Genomic DNA, 16,660 nt, shown 5'->3' with positions numbered 1-16,660 from the left:
TGTTTTCCAGAACATATTTAGGATACTGTGTTCAATTCTAAGTGCATAATTCAGGAGGGATATGAATAAACTAAAAACTATTCAAGATGATAAGAAGCCAGAAAAGCTGAAGAATATGAGCTTGGTCTGCAGAAAAGTTAAGAGGAAGCAAAATTTCCTTACATATCTAATAAATTGTCAGTTTGCATAGGAAAAATAAGACTTGTTCTGTGTAACTTTAATAGGCACAATTAGAACAAATGGGTAGAAGTTATAGGAAGTTTAATTGATTATAAAGGAACAAAATATCCAGTGCTTCTCAAAAAGTGGAATGAAATGGAAAGCTATCTCTCAGGGAAGCAATAAGATTCCTTTACCAGATTGCAAAATAACCTTCATATCTGTGGACTGGTGATGACTGTTCTCTAAGTGCTTGAAAAAGCATTTACCTCAATGTATGTTGTTACAAAAAATAAATCAGTTTCATTATGTGCCTGTTTAGAGAATTTAAATAAATCAAATGGTATACTGTTTAACCATTTATTTTATTTTATTTATTTATTTTTTTTTTGAGACAGAAGTCTTGCTCTGTCACCCAGGCTGGAGTGCAGTGGTGCGATCTTGGCTCACTGCAACCTGTCTCCTGGGTTCATGCGATTCTCCTGCCTCAGCTTCCCGAGTAGTTGGGATTACAGGTGCACACCAACACATCCGGCTAATTTTTGTTTCGCCATATTGGCCAGGCTGGTCTTGAACTCCTGACCTCAGGTGATCCACCTGTCTCAGCCTCCCAAAGTGCTGGGATTATAGGCATGAGCCACCGTGCCCGGCCTTAACCATTTATTTTCTAAATACAAACAATAAAAGCACTTTTGCAAAATAATTAAATCCAAATTTGTGATTATATTTATGATTACATTTTTAAGTCCCTCTAGTTCTAATAAGTTCCTAACTTCCTTACTGTCTATGCCATAACAAATTATAAATTAGGGAATCCGAAATATAGTTGAACAGAGTGTAAATGCCAACATGTCTAATAATTTTTCCTTCAAAAGCCTGAAAACCAGAATTACTTGGATAGCAGCCAATATGCATGATAAAATATGTTTTAAATAAGGAAATCTGAACACTATTTAATACTCTGAAATGGACAGATCTGATTTTTTACATTTAGTAAATTAACAGGAAAACCAGATTATATAACTATTGGGTAAATATTTTCTCCTCTCCCACAGTAAAAAAGAGATATAAGCCCAGCACAGTATCCTTAAAGTACATCAACGAGTAATTTAGTACTCCAAAAAAGCATGGAATGGCCAGGCATAGCGGTTCACACCTGGAATTCCAGCACTTTGGGAGGCCCAGGCAGGAGGATTGCCTGAGGCCCAGAGTTTGAGGCTGCAGTGAGTTATGATCAAGCCACTGTACTCCAGCCTGGGCAACAGAGTTGAGACCCAGTCTCAAAAAAAAAAAAAAAGTATGGAAAATCGAATGCTTCTAAGTTATGCTATCAATTTAAAAATAGCGAAAATAGTTAGCCAGAATGTTTCACAATCTTAAATACAGCATAACAAAAGTTATCAAGAATATTCATGTAGTTAAGCTAAATTACCAAGAAGCTATAGGAAGAATGATGAATTAGGTTATTACTTTGTTTTAAATAACTGAGAAACAGAGCATACTAAAGGTGAAACAGACCATGTTAAAGGTGCAAAACTATTAATCGCAATGTCTTTATTTCCAGAACAAACTTAGTACCTGGTAACCTCAAAACACATACTCAATTACATTTAAAAGGTGAGAAGTTAGTAATGACTAAAGTACATCTAAGACTTGGCAAAGTCAAAGTAGGAATTTAAGATTCTAAACCCAATGTCAGCTTTCCAAAACTAATCAACTGGACAAGACAGGGAACACGGCAAGAGTAAGAAGGTAGCATCAGGAAATCTTCATGCATCGCTTTCTTGGAGAGCTTACAATTTAAAGGATCAGAAGACCATTTACCTCCAAAAGTCTGTGTCTCTCTTTATCAGTCAGCTTTCCTTTCCCACTTGTGATTTCATCCACTGATGTCTTTAAGTGTGCAATTTCTCCCTTTAATTTTTCTAATGTAGTTTCGGATTTGGAGTTACTAGGCTTCGATCCCCACTTACTTTTAATTAAATCTTTGGTACTTCTGGAAGACATCTCTGAAATGGTCTGTAAAAATAAAAATCAACTGTATAATTCTGAGTTTAAAAATTTAAATCTCAAGTTTGAAACAGGTCTAATAACCTATCTGCTCTAAATAGAAATGATATATCCAAACCAGCAGGGTATGGAGAAAGATGGATGGAGGCTTCTGGGGTATTGTAACTTTTTTTTTTAATCTCAGTGGTAGATAAATGGGAGTATTCACCTTCTAAAATATGTCAACTTGGGCTGGGTACGGTGGCTCACGCCTGTAGCCCCAGCACTTTGGGAGGTCAAGATGGGTGGATCATGAGGTCAGGAGTTCGAGACCAGTCTGGCCAACATGGTGAAACTCCATCTCTACTAAAACTACAAAACTTAGCCAGGCGTGGTGGCAGGTGCCTGTAATCCCAGATGCTGGGGAGGCTGAGGCAGGAGAATCGCTTGAGCCCGGGAGGTGGAGGTTGCTGTGAGCCAAGATCGCACCAATGTACTCCAGCCTGGGTGACACAGCAAGACTCCGTCTCAAAAAAAAAAAAAAAAAAAAAGTCAACTTGTACATTTATGTTTTGTGTAGTGTTCTATATGTGTAATTATATGTGTAATTCTTTTGTGGAAAAGTTTGGTTTAAAAAACAATGAAGGGGTCTCCAACCATTAAATAAAGCCTGAAAGAAGTAGGTCACAATCAAGGACATATCTTGGCCCAAAATAAAAAGCTGTTGGTAAATAATGTAATTCTGAGTATATAGGCACGAAATGTCATTACTTAACATAGGTCCTCTGTTTTAGAAGGTAGCCTAGTTCAGATCCATCTTAATAATCATTTGAGAGAGCACAGTGGGAAAAAGTGAAGAGAACCTAAAATAAGACATTTACTGGAAAAGAGGTATAACATTCAGGGGAGTCAGGCATGAAAGGAATTAAGAATAAGGGGCCAAATTAAGTAAGGAGAAACTCAGTATCTGCTAACAGTACTGGATGACAGTTTAGAAACAAGTATATAATATAAACTTTAGCAGGCAAAAATCTAGTGAAGCATACGATGCATATAAATAGTATATAAAAGTAACTCTAATTAAGGAGGTTAAAAAACATTTTTCTACTTCATGTATCCCAAGATAAAATAATGGCAGTGTGATTAAAGGATATAAAGGAGTATGAGCCCATTAGTGCATTCAAAAATTACTATAAAGCCTACTATTTACCAGGTATCCTAATACATGCTGGGTGTAAACTGGTTTAAAAAAAAAAAAAAGACATGTTCCCTAATGTTATGGGGCTTTCAGTGTAGTAAAGGCAGGCAATAACAAGGAAACAAACAAGGGTTCATGAATCCTCAAACTGTAATAAATATTACACAAGAGAAGTACAGGGATAAATGATATCAGTAAAAACAGGAGAGACCTCCTTAGAATGGTAGTGAAGTGACTTTTAAGATTGTCCTGTGTGAAATCAGAACGTCTAAACATATTAGAACTGTGGAGATTGAGTAGAAGAAATCATCTATCAAAAGGTTAGTCCTGGATTTTTGCCATTATAAGGTGAAAGATTGCAGTAGCTCATCCATCAGTTAAAGAAATGCAAGGTTATGGCGTCTCTCAGTCACCTGCTGCCACAGGAAGTTCTTTCCTATGTGTTTCTGTTGATAACACACTGTTGACTTGATATCGTGGGTCGTAGGACAGAAAACTACTACCAAGTCATTGAGACACAAAATGATGGAAATATAGATCTGCAGAACGTGAAAGAACCCCCAAACATCTGCTTCCTAACCTTTGCACAGAAACTCTGGCAGTGAATGAATGACTACTAGTTTCTAGCCTCTGGCCCAGACGGTTTGGATCTCCCCCACCACCTAGTCCCACCAACCTCCTTTCCCTGTATTTTCTTTTTTCTGTTTCTGTTTCTTTCTTTTTTTTTTTGGCGGGGGCGGGGCGTTAGGGGCGGCAGAGTCTCGCTCTGTCGCCCAGGCTGGAGTGCAGTGGCACTATCTCAGATCACTGCAACCTCCGCCTCCCGGGTTCAAGGGATTCTCCTGCCTCAGCCTCCTGAGTAGCTGGGACTACAGGTGCGCGTCACCACGCCTGGCTAATTTTTTTTTATCTATTAGTAGAGATGAGGTTTCACCATATTGGTCAGGCTAGTCTCGAACTCCTGACCTCAAGTGATCTGCCCGCCTCGGCCTCCCAAAGTGCTGGGATTACAGGCGTGAACCACCGCGCCCGGCCACCTTTCCCTGTATTTCCTATTCCAGTCATCCACAGGGTTCCCCCAGTTCAAACCTTCCTCAGCATGCCTTCCCTCTGTGAACTCTTAACAAACGATATAGCTGCCCCACCCCCACCCCTACACAATCTAGTACCCAATTACACTTCCTGCTAACCTTTTATTTTTTCAATTGTTCAACTATTTTTTCAAGGACTGCACTTTGATTTTTGTTGTTGTTGTTGTTACCCACAGAGCCTAACAGCAAGCCCTCAGATATGATTGGTTGATTGGGGCCGGGCGCGGTGGCTCACGCCTGTAATCCCAGCACTCTGGAAGGCCGAGGCAGGTGGATCATCTGAGGTCAGGAGTTCGAGACCAGCCTGCCCAACATGGCGAAACCCTGTCTCTACTAAAAATACAAAAATTAACCGGGCGTGGTGGCGCACGCCTGTAGTCCCAGCTATTCAGGAGGCTGAGGAAGGAGAATCGCTTGAACCCAGGAGGCAGAGGTTGCAGTGAGCCAAGATCGTGCCATTGCACTCCAGCCTTGGTGACAGAGCGAGACTCCATCTCAAAAAAAAAGAAAAAAGAAAAGAAATGATTGGTTGATTAGCTGAAGTGACCTAAGTCATGCTGGACAGGTGACCAAACAAGCGCTTCCATCCAGTAAATGGTACAAGGCCTCAATTACAAGCCGCATCTTCTACAAGGCGACGCCAATCTTTAAAAATTCCCACATAAAATCTCACTTGAGGAGACAGACAGGAAAAGAGAAACTGCAAAAAAAGGCACAAGTTTTCTCACTTCTAAAATAAAGATGTTTGAGGAACACACAACGAAAGTGCCTGCCAATCGGAAAAAGCCGTCCTAACAAAAGACCTTGGGCAAGTCACTTGGCCTCTCTGCGCCTATCTGTAAGGAGATGATACCCACCGCCAAGTCCAAAGAAGCGATCGAAGAGACAACGGTCTTGAGGCGCCCAGCCGGGTGCCAGGCACGAAGTGAGCGCCAGGGAAAAGGACTGTTATCAGAGCGGGCAGAGATTGAATCCCGCGGACGCGATCTGCCCACTGACCTGCCCTCCCTGGCGGTCCGGACCGGCCCGGCCCCGGGGCTGCGGGTCCTGGCCGCCCCTCGCCACCCTCCGCGGTCGCCTCCCTTGGGCCAGCTAGCAGCTGAAGCGAAGCGCGGCGCTCGCGTCGGCCGAGTCACACCATCAGGTGTGGATGCCGCTTCCGGGAGTTTGAATCCCGCGGCTGCAGGGCGGGGCACGTCACTGCCGGCAGGGCGCGGCCCGCAAGAAGGAGGAGCAGCGCGCGCGCGGCGGGGACGCGGCTCCCCGATTGGCTGCCGCCTTTGAAGGGCGGAGAGTAAACCTGAGGGCGGGCCGAGAAGTGGCTGGGGCCGCGGGGCGGGACAGAGGGCGGGAACACTTCCTCCCGGGCCCGCCAGCTAATTCTGGGATCGGGGGTTCTCTGCGGGCTTAGACCTAAACAAGCTTGGTGTCTCGCAGTCAGGGGCTGGTTTTGTGTTTATACGCTTTTAGGAGAAAGCAAATTACTATTTTTAATGGGATAAAACCAGTGACGATGGACCGAGACGAACTAGTTCTGCGCTCTTGAGCATAGATTCTCCCTGTGTGAAGTGCGGCCCCTCCTGCCCTGGGACAACGGGATTTCACAAAGGAGCACAGCCCCCTTGTCATCCCCTCGGGTCTCACTCTGTCGCCCAGGCTGGAGTGGAGTGGTGCAATCATAGCTCACTGCAACCTCAGTCTCCCGGGTTCAAGCGATCGTCTTGCCTCAGCCTGCCGAGTAGCTGAGACTACAGGCGCACGCCACCACGCCCGGCTAATTTTTTATTAAAAAATTTTATACAGACAGCGGAGTGGGGGGGGGGGGGGGTGGTCTCACTTTGTTTCCCACTCTGATCACGAACTCCTGCCTTCAAGTGATCCTTCCACCTCGGCCTCCTAAAGTGCTGGGATTACTGCCAAAAATCAGCAGCACAGCAGGGAGTGTTAACGGGAGAGATGAGAGGCACGCCCAGGTTGAACGCTGAGATTATGAATGCTAGCGGACCGGCTTTCAGACCAGACTGCTACCCTCCAGCCTGATATCTATCTATTGATCGATTCTAGCTCTTGATTAGCCGCTTTGAGAACGTTACTGCTGAGAGAAGAAGCACATGAAATGTTTAGCAGGGCCTCCCTTTCTCTCCTAGACCCAGCATAAACTCGCTGGAGATTTAAAACAGTAGATACACAGTAGCAAAACATCCTAGGTACACAATATTGTACAAAGGTTATAAACTCTAGATTAGGACTTTCTAGATTTAATTCCTTACTGCCCTGACTAGATGTGTCTCCTTGGATAAATTTATTTAACCTATTTGAGCCTCGGTTTCCCGATGTGTAAAATGATGCAAATAATAATATTTACTTCACAGCTCGGTTATAAGGATTAAATGAGGAAATCCGGCCAGGTGGAATGGCTAATTCCTGTAATCCCACCACTACGTGAGGACGGGGAGCGAGGATTGCTTGAGGTCAGGAGTTGGAGACCAGCCTGGGCAACACAGAGAGATCCACTCTCACCCCACCCAATCCCTGTCTCTAATTTTAAAACTTTAAAATTTTTTTACATGAAAGAAATTCATGTAAAGTGCTTAACATTTAGTAAATGTTCAATTGATGTTAGCCATTGTTAAACAAAAGGCAACACTCAAATGTTACTGAATAGAATGGATGAGAAAACCATGTGGGGAATTTTAAAGAATCAGAGAAACAAAACCAAAACAGAATGCAAGATAACGTTTGGTACCTGCTTCCAAGGAGCTCCCATTTCTGAAGGGAAGGTAAACTAAAGTATCAAGTGGGATTAGGGTGGGAAAAATCAGGGCAAAAGATAAATCATCGTGTGAACATTATTCATTGCCCAGAGTTGAGGGGCAAAATTAATTTCCACAGAGATTTACAAAGATTCTTAAAGAGATATAGAGAAAAACATTTCCCTGTTCACCTTCAAGCCAAATGGGGAGCAAAAAATGGGGGAGAGGGAGGAGGGACCCTGGAGAGAGGTGGCACCTGGCGGACTGGCACCTGGGTAGCCAGCACCCAGGCCTGCTGTGCCAGACACTCCAATTCCACACCTGCCCTCCAGGACCTTCTTTTCTGGCTAAAGGTCGCCCTGTGAGTGGGGACCTTGAGGAAGAGGAGCAAACAAGAGGCTCATTGGCCTGGGGGGCTTGTTAAATTCCCTAATTGCCATTGCTAGCCCTGAAAATTAATGTTTGCTCTTTACAGATAGGAGCTGCCAGTCATGAGGTTGTGAAGAGCTGGTAGTTTCCACAAGATCTCACAAGTACTTTGATGTTGATAGTTCACTCAGGGATAGTCTAGGATGAAGATTGGGAAACTCATCTTTATTCATGTAAAGAGAAATGTAACAGCCAAGCAGACTAGATATTTATCTAAGCAGGTGAGCTCATTTTCTTCCCAGTAGGAACCTGTTCTTGGGAAACCAAAACAGGATCAAAAGGCTGCTGAATGGGTTTAAAGATATTAAATGGAAATAGGGAGGCTGTTGTAGGTTAGAGCACCTATCACCTTTGAAGGTTACATCTTCCAAGGCAATGCTAATGAACACACAGGGCCTCACCAGCGTGTAGATCTGCACTGTCCAATACAACTTTCTGCAGTGATGGAAAGGTCCCTCCTGATCTATCCAATATGGTAGCACTAGCCATAGATGGCTACTGAGTGCTTGAAATGTGGCCACCGTTATTGAGAAACTGAATTTTTAACTTTATTTAATCTTAATTTAAAAACTAAAAGTTTATTTATTGAAAAACTTTTGATTTTCTTATTTTTTTCTTTTTTTTATTATTATTATTTTATTGGAAAACTTTTAAGTATGTTTGGAACAACCTGGGTACAAAAACCTGTTTTTTCAATTGTAAATTTTATGAAATCTACATATAGATCAAGTATTTCTGAGGAAGATTTTATGTCCAAATTGAGGTGTGTGAATATACACAGCAGATTTCAAAAACTTAGTATGAAAAAAGAATGTAAAATATTGCACTAATACTTGTTTATATTATTACATGTTAAAATGATAGTATTTTTGATATATTGGGTAAAATGAAACATATTAAAACGGATCTCACCTAATGTGTTTTACTTTTTTTGATGTGACTAGAAAATTCAAAATGATAAATGTGGCTCATACTATATTTCTATTGCACAGCACTGGAATGCACACAATAAATGTTCTCTAAATTCAGAACAAGAAGAAATGAATGAACTCTTGTCTCCTTTCAATCTGATTTCTCCTTAGCAGGGATTTTTTCTTTTAAATAATGCAAATGCAATCTTGTCACCTATTTCCCAATGCAAACACAAAGCATTTGATTGATTTACCATTGTTCTTAAAATAAGGAAAAAAAATTCTCCATCTGTCCTCTGGGGCCTAGTGGAGACCAAAGTCCCAAACCAGCCATGCTTGACACCTTTCATTCCTTGACCAGGCAGACTCCTTCCTGCCTTCGGGGCTTTTCCACAGGCCCTGTCTGGAATTCTCCACTGTTATCTCCTTTCCTACTTCCCCGGAAAATCTTAGTTCTCACTGCTGCAGGGATGTCCTCGCTTTAGCTTGTACTTCTCCAACCACTCACCACACTTATAATTGCACATTTATTTGAGAGTGATTCTTTGGTTGGTATCTTTTCCCCTCACTAGGCTGCAAAATCCTTGAAGGTAGGGGCCACATCTGATTTTGCCAGCCACCATATCCTGAGCACCTAGAAGAACCACAGTGATTGAGCGAATTAGATCAAGGATGAATTGATCAGAGTCTCGTCTGATCTAAACTATTACGGAGAAACAGACAAATGCTTTACTCTCTTTCCTTTCTGTTATCGATATTCCTTAATTACCTAAAAGGATGCACCTTACTTAAAATAATGCACCAGAAGCATGCTTTTAGAGCTCAGCACCTTTTCAGGGTAGACCCCCTGCTCTTTCCTAAAGTTTATCTTCAGCCAGGAAGGGCTGCATTTTAAATCGGCAAATAGGGAGATCCCCTCAGCACTTAGCTGTGATCACTGCAGCTCTATCAGCAAGCAACATATCTGAAAATCATTTCAGGGGCAGGCGGCTAATCTCATATGAGAGAATTCTTCTTAGGCAGTCAGTGATACTTCCTGACTTGGTTCTTGATTTGGGGTGCATCCTATTTTGAGAGGGCAGGCCCTGACTGCTCTGCCCGCTTTAGGTCCTTTTTTTTTTTTTTTTTTTTTTTAAGAGATGAGGTCTCACTATATTGCCCAGGCTGGTCTCAAACTTCTTCAAGCAATCCTCCTGGCCTGGCCTCAAGCAATCTTTCCACCTTGGCCTCCCAAAGTGCTGGGATTATAGGCATGATCCACTGAGCCTGGCCTATTTTAGCTCCTATTAAAATTTAAGTCTGCATGGTAACTAAAACATTTCATTTGTAACCAGGGTATTAATAGGCAATCCAATCGCTCCACTTCCCTGCTGAAAAATACATCTCCAATAGGTCCCTGTCACCATGAGGTATGTGTAAGAATGAAGAGCACGGACTCTGGAAAAAGACTGCCTGCATTCAGATCCTGGCTTTACTTACCGTGAGAACCTAGGCAAGGTGCTTAGCCAAACCAGGCCTCAGCTTTTTCGTCTGTAGAATGGGGATCCTACCATAGCAGGGACTTCACAGGGTAGGGTGGTGGAAGGTTTCAATGAGAAAAAATGCTTAGGATAGTGTTTGGCACGTAGTGAGTACTCAGTAGATGTTACTGAGCAAATAAGGCTCTCTGAGCTGGTAACTGCCTGCCTGCCTAGGCTCAGTGCTTGACTGTTTTATGTCATACATGATGTTCCACCAGTGTGGAATGTCTTGGGGTTCCAAATGTTCACCATATGTATTTAACTCTATTTCAGATCATACAGTCAGGCACACACACATACACACATATCAATCCAACCATTAAGATTCAGTCCAGTTTTCAGCTGTCACCTCCTCCAGGGAGCCTACCATGCTTGCCCTCCCCTGCCCTACAGATACCTATCTCTTCAGTTTATCTCTTTCTATCATTGCCCTCACCACATGATGCTACAATTATCTGTGAGCTTCTTGCAGAGCAGAAATGTGTCCTATTCATTTTTGTAGTTAGCATTGTGCCTGGCACCAAGTAGCGTTTAATAAGTATTAGCTGAATAAGGTGCATATGTGCGTGAATGAATGAGGGCTCTTCCAGAAGAACAGCTGGGAGCCATTTGTCTATCAGACATTTTGATGAAGAATTATTGTTTCTGTAAAGGTGAGCACAAGGCTTAAAATTATTCCACTTTTGCCTGTTCTATTTTTTCTAGGTTGATTTTAGAAAATATATTAATATCTTCTTAGAGAAGTCAGATTAATTCCTATCTTATATTTAGCTCCCCCAGTTGCCTTGAATGATGACAATATGATGGTGCCAAATGTTATAAAATAATTTATCTCCTCCTGCCCTCTACGTGGACTCAGTTGCTGCCAAGCACTTTCTTAAAGGAATGAAATTCAAATATACTATATATTAAGTTATTTAAAGATAGTGTCTTCCACTGTGAGAAGCCCTGTAATTAAGCCACCAAAAATAGTATTTTAGCTCTAAAAAGCACTTTGGTTATCAACTGAAACAATGGACCCTTCTGTGCATGCCAATTTGAAAAATGCTGTTAGGTAATACCTAAGATTCTGTAAAACTGGAATTGGAATAAGATGTTACGAATCTATCTTCATTTCTCTTCCACTAAATCCTCTTTGCTACCCCAGCACTTTGCTCTTCACATCTAGATTTTTTGCTGAGTCTCCCTTCTCTTCCTCTCACATTCCTCTTTCTCCATCTCTTTTGTCTCACTGTTCCAGGGCAAGTGTAAGGCCACTCACCTAGATTAATGCTTGAGTTTACTTGAGACAGGTAAGAAACAATGAAACAGAAATATGAGATCTCAGCTGAGGTGAAGCTGGGAAGGGAGTTTGACTCGGAAGACACTAGGTTTGAATCCTGGCTCAAGTTTTTTGTCACTTCTGTGCCTCCATTTTGTTAGGGCAGTACAGGTATTTCTTCTTAACTTAAGATGGGCCATTGCTTTTCTCATGTTCCTAGGAGCCACCTTAGTAGTGCGTTTGCACCATCTCTGGGGGCCTTGCGGCATATGAAATCAGCATCTTGGGGGAGCGCACCCATACTGGTCAACTCTCTTTTATCCAAATTTGTGTTCTGCACTGCCCTTCGACACAGCACACTTAGAATCCAGCCCCATGTGAACTCTTCCAGCTTCTGCCAGTCCAATTGGTTGTGTCCTGCAGTTTGTTCAAGGGGTGTCCCCTTTCTGTCTTCAGCAGGCAGGCCTAGCACATCCCAGGCAGCAATATGTTGTTAGGACTTAACCGTAGATATTGGTAACGGCCGGGGTGGGAGGCCTTCGCAGATCCTGAGAAAAGAACAAGGTGTCTTGCAGGGGGGAGGCCTTCACATCATCTCCAAGCAAGGTGGAGTGGTGCTTGTCTTTAATCTGAGCTCCCCCAGGCTCAGAGGGCTCAGAGAAATTTGGGGATTTAAGATTCTCAAGGACATCAACCAGATATCCCCATCCTATGTATCAGGGTCCCAGTCCTTCCCCAAGCAGAGCCTTGATCTTATCAGAGTCAACTTGTCTCGGTTGGGGGTTCAATCTTCCTTGGAGCTTGTCGTCTTTTGTGACTAAGTTCTGGTGCTGGGCCTGAGCTTTCCCAGTTCTCCTGCTGCAGGAGAGGCCACCTGGCTTTCATTCATAGCTATTTATTGCTGATTAATCACTCTCAACCTTTTGTTACTTTTCCAGAGTGTCAACTGAGTTTGGCAATGGCTCCCTAAATCCAAATCCTTAGTTACTGTTTTCCCTGCATATTTCAACTGCTTGACATTTCACGCAGCTAATGCGTTCCCTTCCATTGGTGACACATTTTACTATTGTACTGTGCCAGGGATAATCATTGATGAGATTATCAGGGGTCTTCATTCCCATCTGGGTGGTGGAAGATCAAGCTCAAAATCCCATCTTAGGATCTGCTTTCTTGAACCACTCCTGGCACCCAACTCTGACAGGTTGCATTCCCCAGGGAAAATTTCTGAAATGATATCAGTATACAGGTATTTCTTAAGAAGTATTCATGAGATCAACACCACAGATGCAGGGAGAAGGAAGCTGGGTCCATCACTGGATCCTGCTGACTCCATGGGGAACCCAGACGCTGGAATGGCCCTGTAGATTGTCACCACTTGGGGCAAGGGGACCAGGCCTTCATATCCCTGCGCTGATCAGTCATTGGGAGGTAGGCTGCTTCTGGAAGGAAACATGATCTTGGGTAGGGCAATTTTCTTCAGCGCAGGCAATCCCTGAAGAGGGCTAACAGCTGAGGGAGGTTTTCTGGCAGCTCTCCCAGCAGCTGGGGGTATTTTATCCTTCATTCCTGGAGGGAAATCTGGGTGGTGTATTGTAGCAACAGCCACATTCCCACATTCCATTAAAGCCAGTCCCATGGCCATGTCTGCCACAAATGGGGTAGAGGACAACATGCTTTGCATAGAAAAGCACTGCAAGTCACACAGCACAGGTGCAGGTATGTGATACTCTCCTAGAGATGGCGGGAGCAAGCTATGTGGGAAACCAGAAGACAATGGAACAATGCTTTCAAATATTGGGAGGAAATGCTTTTGAACTTGGAATCCTGTGCCAGCCATACTGCCAATGAAATAGGAGAGTAGAATAAAGCTGTTCAAACAGGGAAGGTCTATGCTTCAGCAATACAAGAAAGTAAACCAAGAAAGAGGAAGACACGGAATCCAAAATAAGAGAGATGCAAAGAGAGGTGGAGAAAGGCAGCTCAGGGATAGCAGCTATGCTTAGCTCCCGAGCAAAACCCTCCAGATCAGAGCCATTTGGAAGACCCCAAGCGAGGGTTCAAGATGAAATTGATACAATTCCAATATGTTTGAACATGTTGGAAATTTACACAATTTGGGAAGAGTTTAAAGTACAAAAAAACAACAAGGGGCTAGGGGCAGTGGTATACGCCTGTAATCCCAGAACTTTGGGAGGCTGAGGTGTGCAGATTGCTTGAGCCCAGGAGTTTGAGACCAGCCTGGGCAACATGGCAAAACCCCAACTCTACAAAAAATACAAAATGTAGACAGGTGTGGTGGTGTGTGCCTGTAGTCCCAGCTATTTGGGAGGCTGAAATGGGAAGATCACCTGAGCCAGGGGAGGTTGAGGCTGCAGTGAGCTGAGATCGCACCACTACACACCAGCCTGGGTGACAGAGACCCTGTCTCAGAAAACAAACAAACAAACAAACAAACAAACAAACAAACACTAAAAACCACCACCAACAAGGTATTAACTCCAAAAGAAAGAAAAGAACAAGTTGAAACAAGATCAAAATGTATGAAGCACATTGCAGTATACTTCATGGCTTGTGAACAGTGTTTATACAATCACAATAATGTATCTATGCAAATTTATGGTACAGCTATCCTGGGGGTGATGGGATACAGAAAGTGTACACATATGTGTTTGGATTTGAGGAGGGGCAAAAGACAGCTAAGTCCTCATTTTCCTTGTTAGGAAACAGATGATGCCTGATGCTGGAAAGTGAAAAATAGAAGAAAGCATGTTACTTGGAGATATGGATATAAACACCAAAATAATCAGATGAAAGAGCTGAAAGTTAGGGCCTCTGGAAATGGAAATGCTGTCAGGAAATGCTAGAGGTAAGGAGAGGTGAACTTCTAATTTTATAATAAGCCTGGTAGAGTTTACTTATTTATTTTGAGACAGGGTCCCACTGTCTCCCAGACTGGAGTGCAGTGGCAAAATTATAGCTCACTGCTCCCAGGCCTAGGTGATCCTCCCACTGCAGCCTCCCAAGTAGCTGGGACTACAGGCACACGCCACCACGCCCAGCTAATTTTTGATTTTTAGTAGAGATGGGGTCTTGCCATGTTGCCCAGGCTGGTTTCAAACTCCTGGGCTCAAGCAACCCTCCCACCCCAGCCTCCCAAAATTCTGGGATTACAGTCGCGAGCCACTGCACCAGCCTCTGATAGGATTTCTTGAATCTTTAAAATAAATACAGGTATGAATTTTGTGAAAGAACAACAAACATATCAGAAGAAATAATTCCAAGTTCACAAGCTTTTCCAAAGAATTAAAAAAGAGGCAACAGCACACCCCACCCCATTTTATGATGCTAGCATGACCTCCACACCAAAGCTGACCAGGACAAAATGAGGACGGGCAATTGCAAGTCAGTCTTATTCATAAATATACATGCAAAAGTCATAAATAGTATATAAACATATTTGCAATCTAAATTTAGCAATAGGAAAGTATAAGATATGACAACCAAGTTGAGTTTATCTCAGGAATGCAAAGTTAGTTTAATATTAGAAAATAAATGTAATTGGCAGGGCGTGGTGGTTCACACCTGTAATCCCAGCACTTTGGGAGGCCGAGATGGGTGGATCACTTGAGGTCAGGAGTTTGAGACCAGCCTGGCCAACATAGTGAAACCCTGTCTCTACTAAAAATACAAAATTAACTGGGTGTTGGTGTGCACCTGTAATCCCAGGTACTTGGGAGGCTGAGGCAGGATAATTGCTTGAACCCAGGAAGGGGAGGTTGCAGTGAGCTGAGATCATGCCACTGCACTCCAACCTGGGCAATAGAGCGAGATTCTGTCTCAAAATAAAATAAAATAAATGTAATTCACCACATTAAACATAAAATTCATATGATCATTTCAATAAAGTGAAACCATCTGATAAAATCCGACTTTATGTCTTATAAAAAGCCTTAAAACTGGGCATTTAAAAGTAGCTAAGCACTTGCCTGTAGTCTCAGCTACTTAGGAGGTGGAGGCGAGAGGATTGCTTGAGGCCAGGGGTTCAAGGCTGTAGTGCACTATGATTGTGCCTGTGAATAATCACTGCATTCCAGCCAGAAGGACATAACAAGACTCCATCTCAAAAAAAAAAAAAAAAAAACCAAAAAAAAAAACCTCAAAGTTTTAGCAACCTAGGAATAAAGAGAACTCCTTTAATCTTAAAAGGGCTAATTATGAGAAACCTACAGCAAACATCATACTTTATGGTGAAGTATGGAAATCTTTCCCTTTGAAATACAGAAAAAGATAAGGATGTCTGTTATTACCACCCCTAGTCAATATTATAATGAAAGGTCTAATCAACATAGAAATAAATGGGAAAATAAAGTAAGCACAAAGATTGAAAAGGAAGAAACACCCCAGGCGTTATTTGCAGATTCTATAATTGTAATGGTAGAAAATCCATGAGAATTTACTGCTGATTACACTCTCACCAGCGGTGTATGAGACTTCCCGTTGTTCCACATTCTTGTCAAGCTTGGCAATGTTAGATTTTTACATATTTTCCCATCTGGTGAGTATATAATAATAACTCATTGGAGTTTTAATTTGCACTTTTCTAATTACCAATGAGGTTGAGTACCTTTTCATATTTACATTTCCTAATTTATGAAGTGCCTATTCAAATCTTTTACCTATTTTTCCATTGAGTTCTATGTGTTTGTCTTACTAATTTGCTGGAGCTGTTTATGTACTCTGAATACTAGTCCTTTGTAGGTTGTGATTTTAATATAATTGAATTTATCAATATTTCCTTTATGATTTGTACATTTTTTCATATTAAGAAATCCTTTCCTATCCTGGGGTCATATAGATATTCTTCTATGGCTTTTTTTGTTGTTTGATTTTTTTCTTTACTTATTTGTTTTAGAGAGGAGGTCTTGCCATGTTGTCTAGGCTGGATTTCTATTTCTGGCCTCAAGTGATCCTCTTGCCTCAGCTTCCCAAGTAGCTGGGACTACAGGTGTGAGCTGCTGCCACCACCTGGTTAGATTTTTTTTTTTTTTTTTTTAGAGACAGGGTCTCACTCTGTTACCCAGGTTGGAGTATAGTGGCACAATCATGGCTCACTGCCACCAGGACTTCCCAGGCTCAAGTGGTTGTCCCACCTCAGCCTTTCAAGTAGCTGGGACCACAGGTGCATGCCACCACACTCGATTAATTTAAAAAATTTTTTTTAGAGGCAGGGTCTCACTATGTTGCCCAGGCTGGTCTCAGACTCACCTCAGCCTCCCCAAAGTGTTGAGATTACAGGTATGAACCACTGTGTCTGGGCTGAAACATGTTTTATCTTGCTTATTTAGATTT

General features: G+C 42.4%; 1 protein-coding gene across 8 annotated transcripts in view, besides 1 other annotated feature; it reads right to left on the bottom strand.

Moving 5' to 3' along the window:
- The window catches only part of CEP55 (centrosomal protein 55), a 32,481-nt gene extending 26,875 nt beyond the window's left edge, over positions 1-5,606 (bottom strand). For 3 of the 8 annotated variants that reach the window (XM_017016373.2, XM_011539919.2, XM_017016372.2), the window contains exons 1-2: positions 5,295-5,606; positions 2,133-2,178 (exon numbers count right to left, since the gene is read on the bottom strand). Coding sequence is in view for 2 of the 8 variants with exons in the window: in NM_018131.5 (NP_060601.4) it covers positions 1,984-2,166 (183 nt within the window). In the remaining 6 variants the exon portion in view is untranslated. Of the gene's footprint in view, positions 1-1,983; positions 2,179-5,294 lie in introns of those variants that run through there. The other 5 variants (XM_047425416.1, XM_011539920.3, NM_018131.5 and 2 more) reach the window with 4 other exon arrangements.
- Positions 5,278-5,787: a silencer, noted in NCBI's record as "silent region_2628". NCBI's record gives its function as "represses an Ori minimal core promoter by ATAC-STARR-seq in GM12878 lymphoblastoid cells {active_cell/tissue: GM12878}" and the evidence as "EXISTENCE:reporter gene assay evidence [ECO:0000049][PMID:35858748]".

The sequence above is a fragment of the Homo sapiens genome, chromosome 10 (genome assembly GCF_000001405.40).
Source record: "Homo sapiens chromosome 10, GRCh38.p14 Primary Assembly".
NCBI classification, from domain to species: domain Eukaryota; kingdom Metazoa; phylum Chordata; class Mammalia; order Primates; family Hominidae; genus Homo; species Homo sapiens.
Note: the sequence above shows the minus strand (reverse complement) of the source record. Positions and strands in the feature narration are given on the sequence as shown.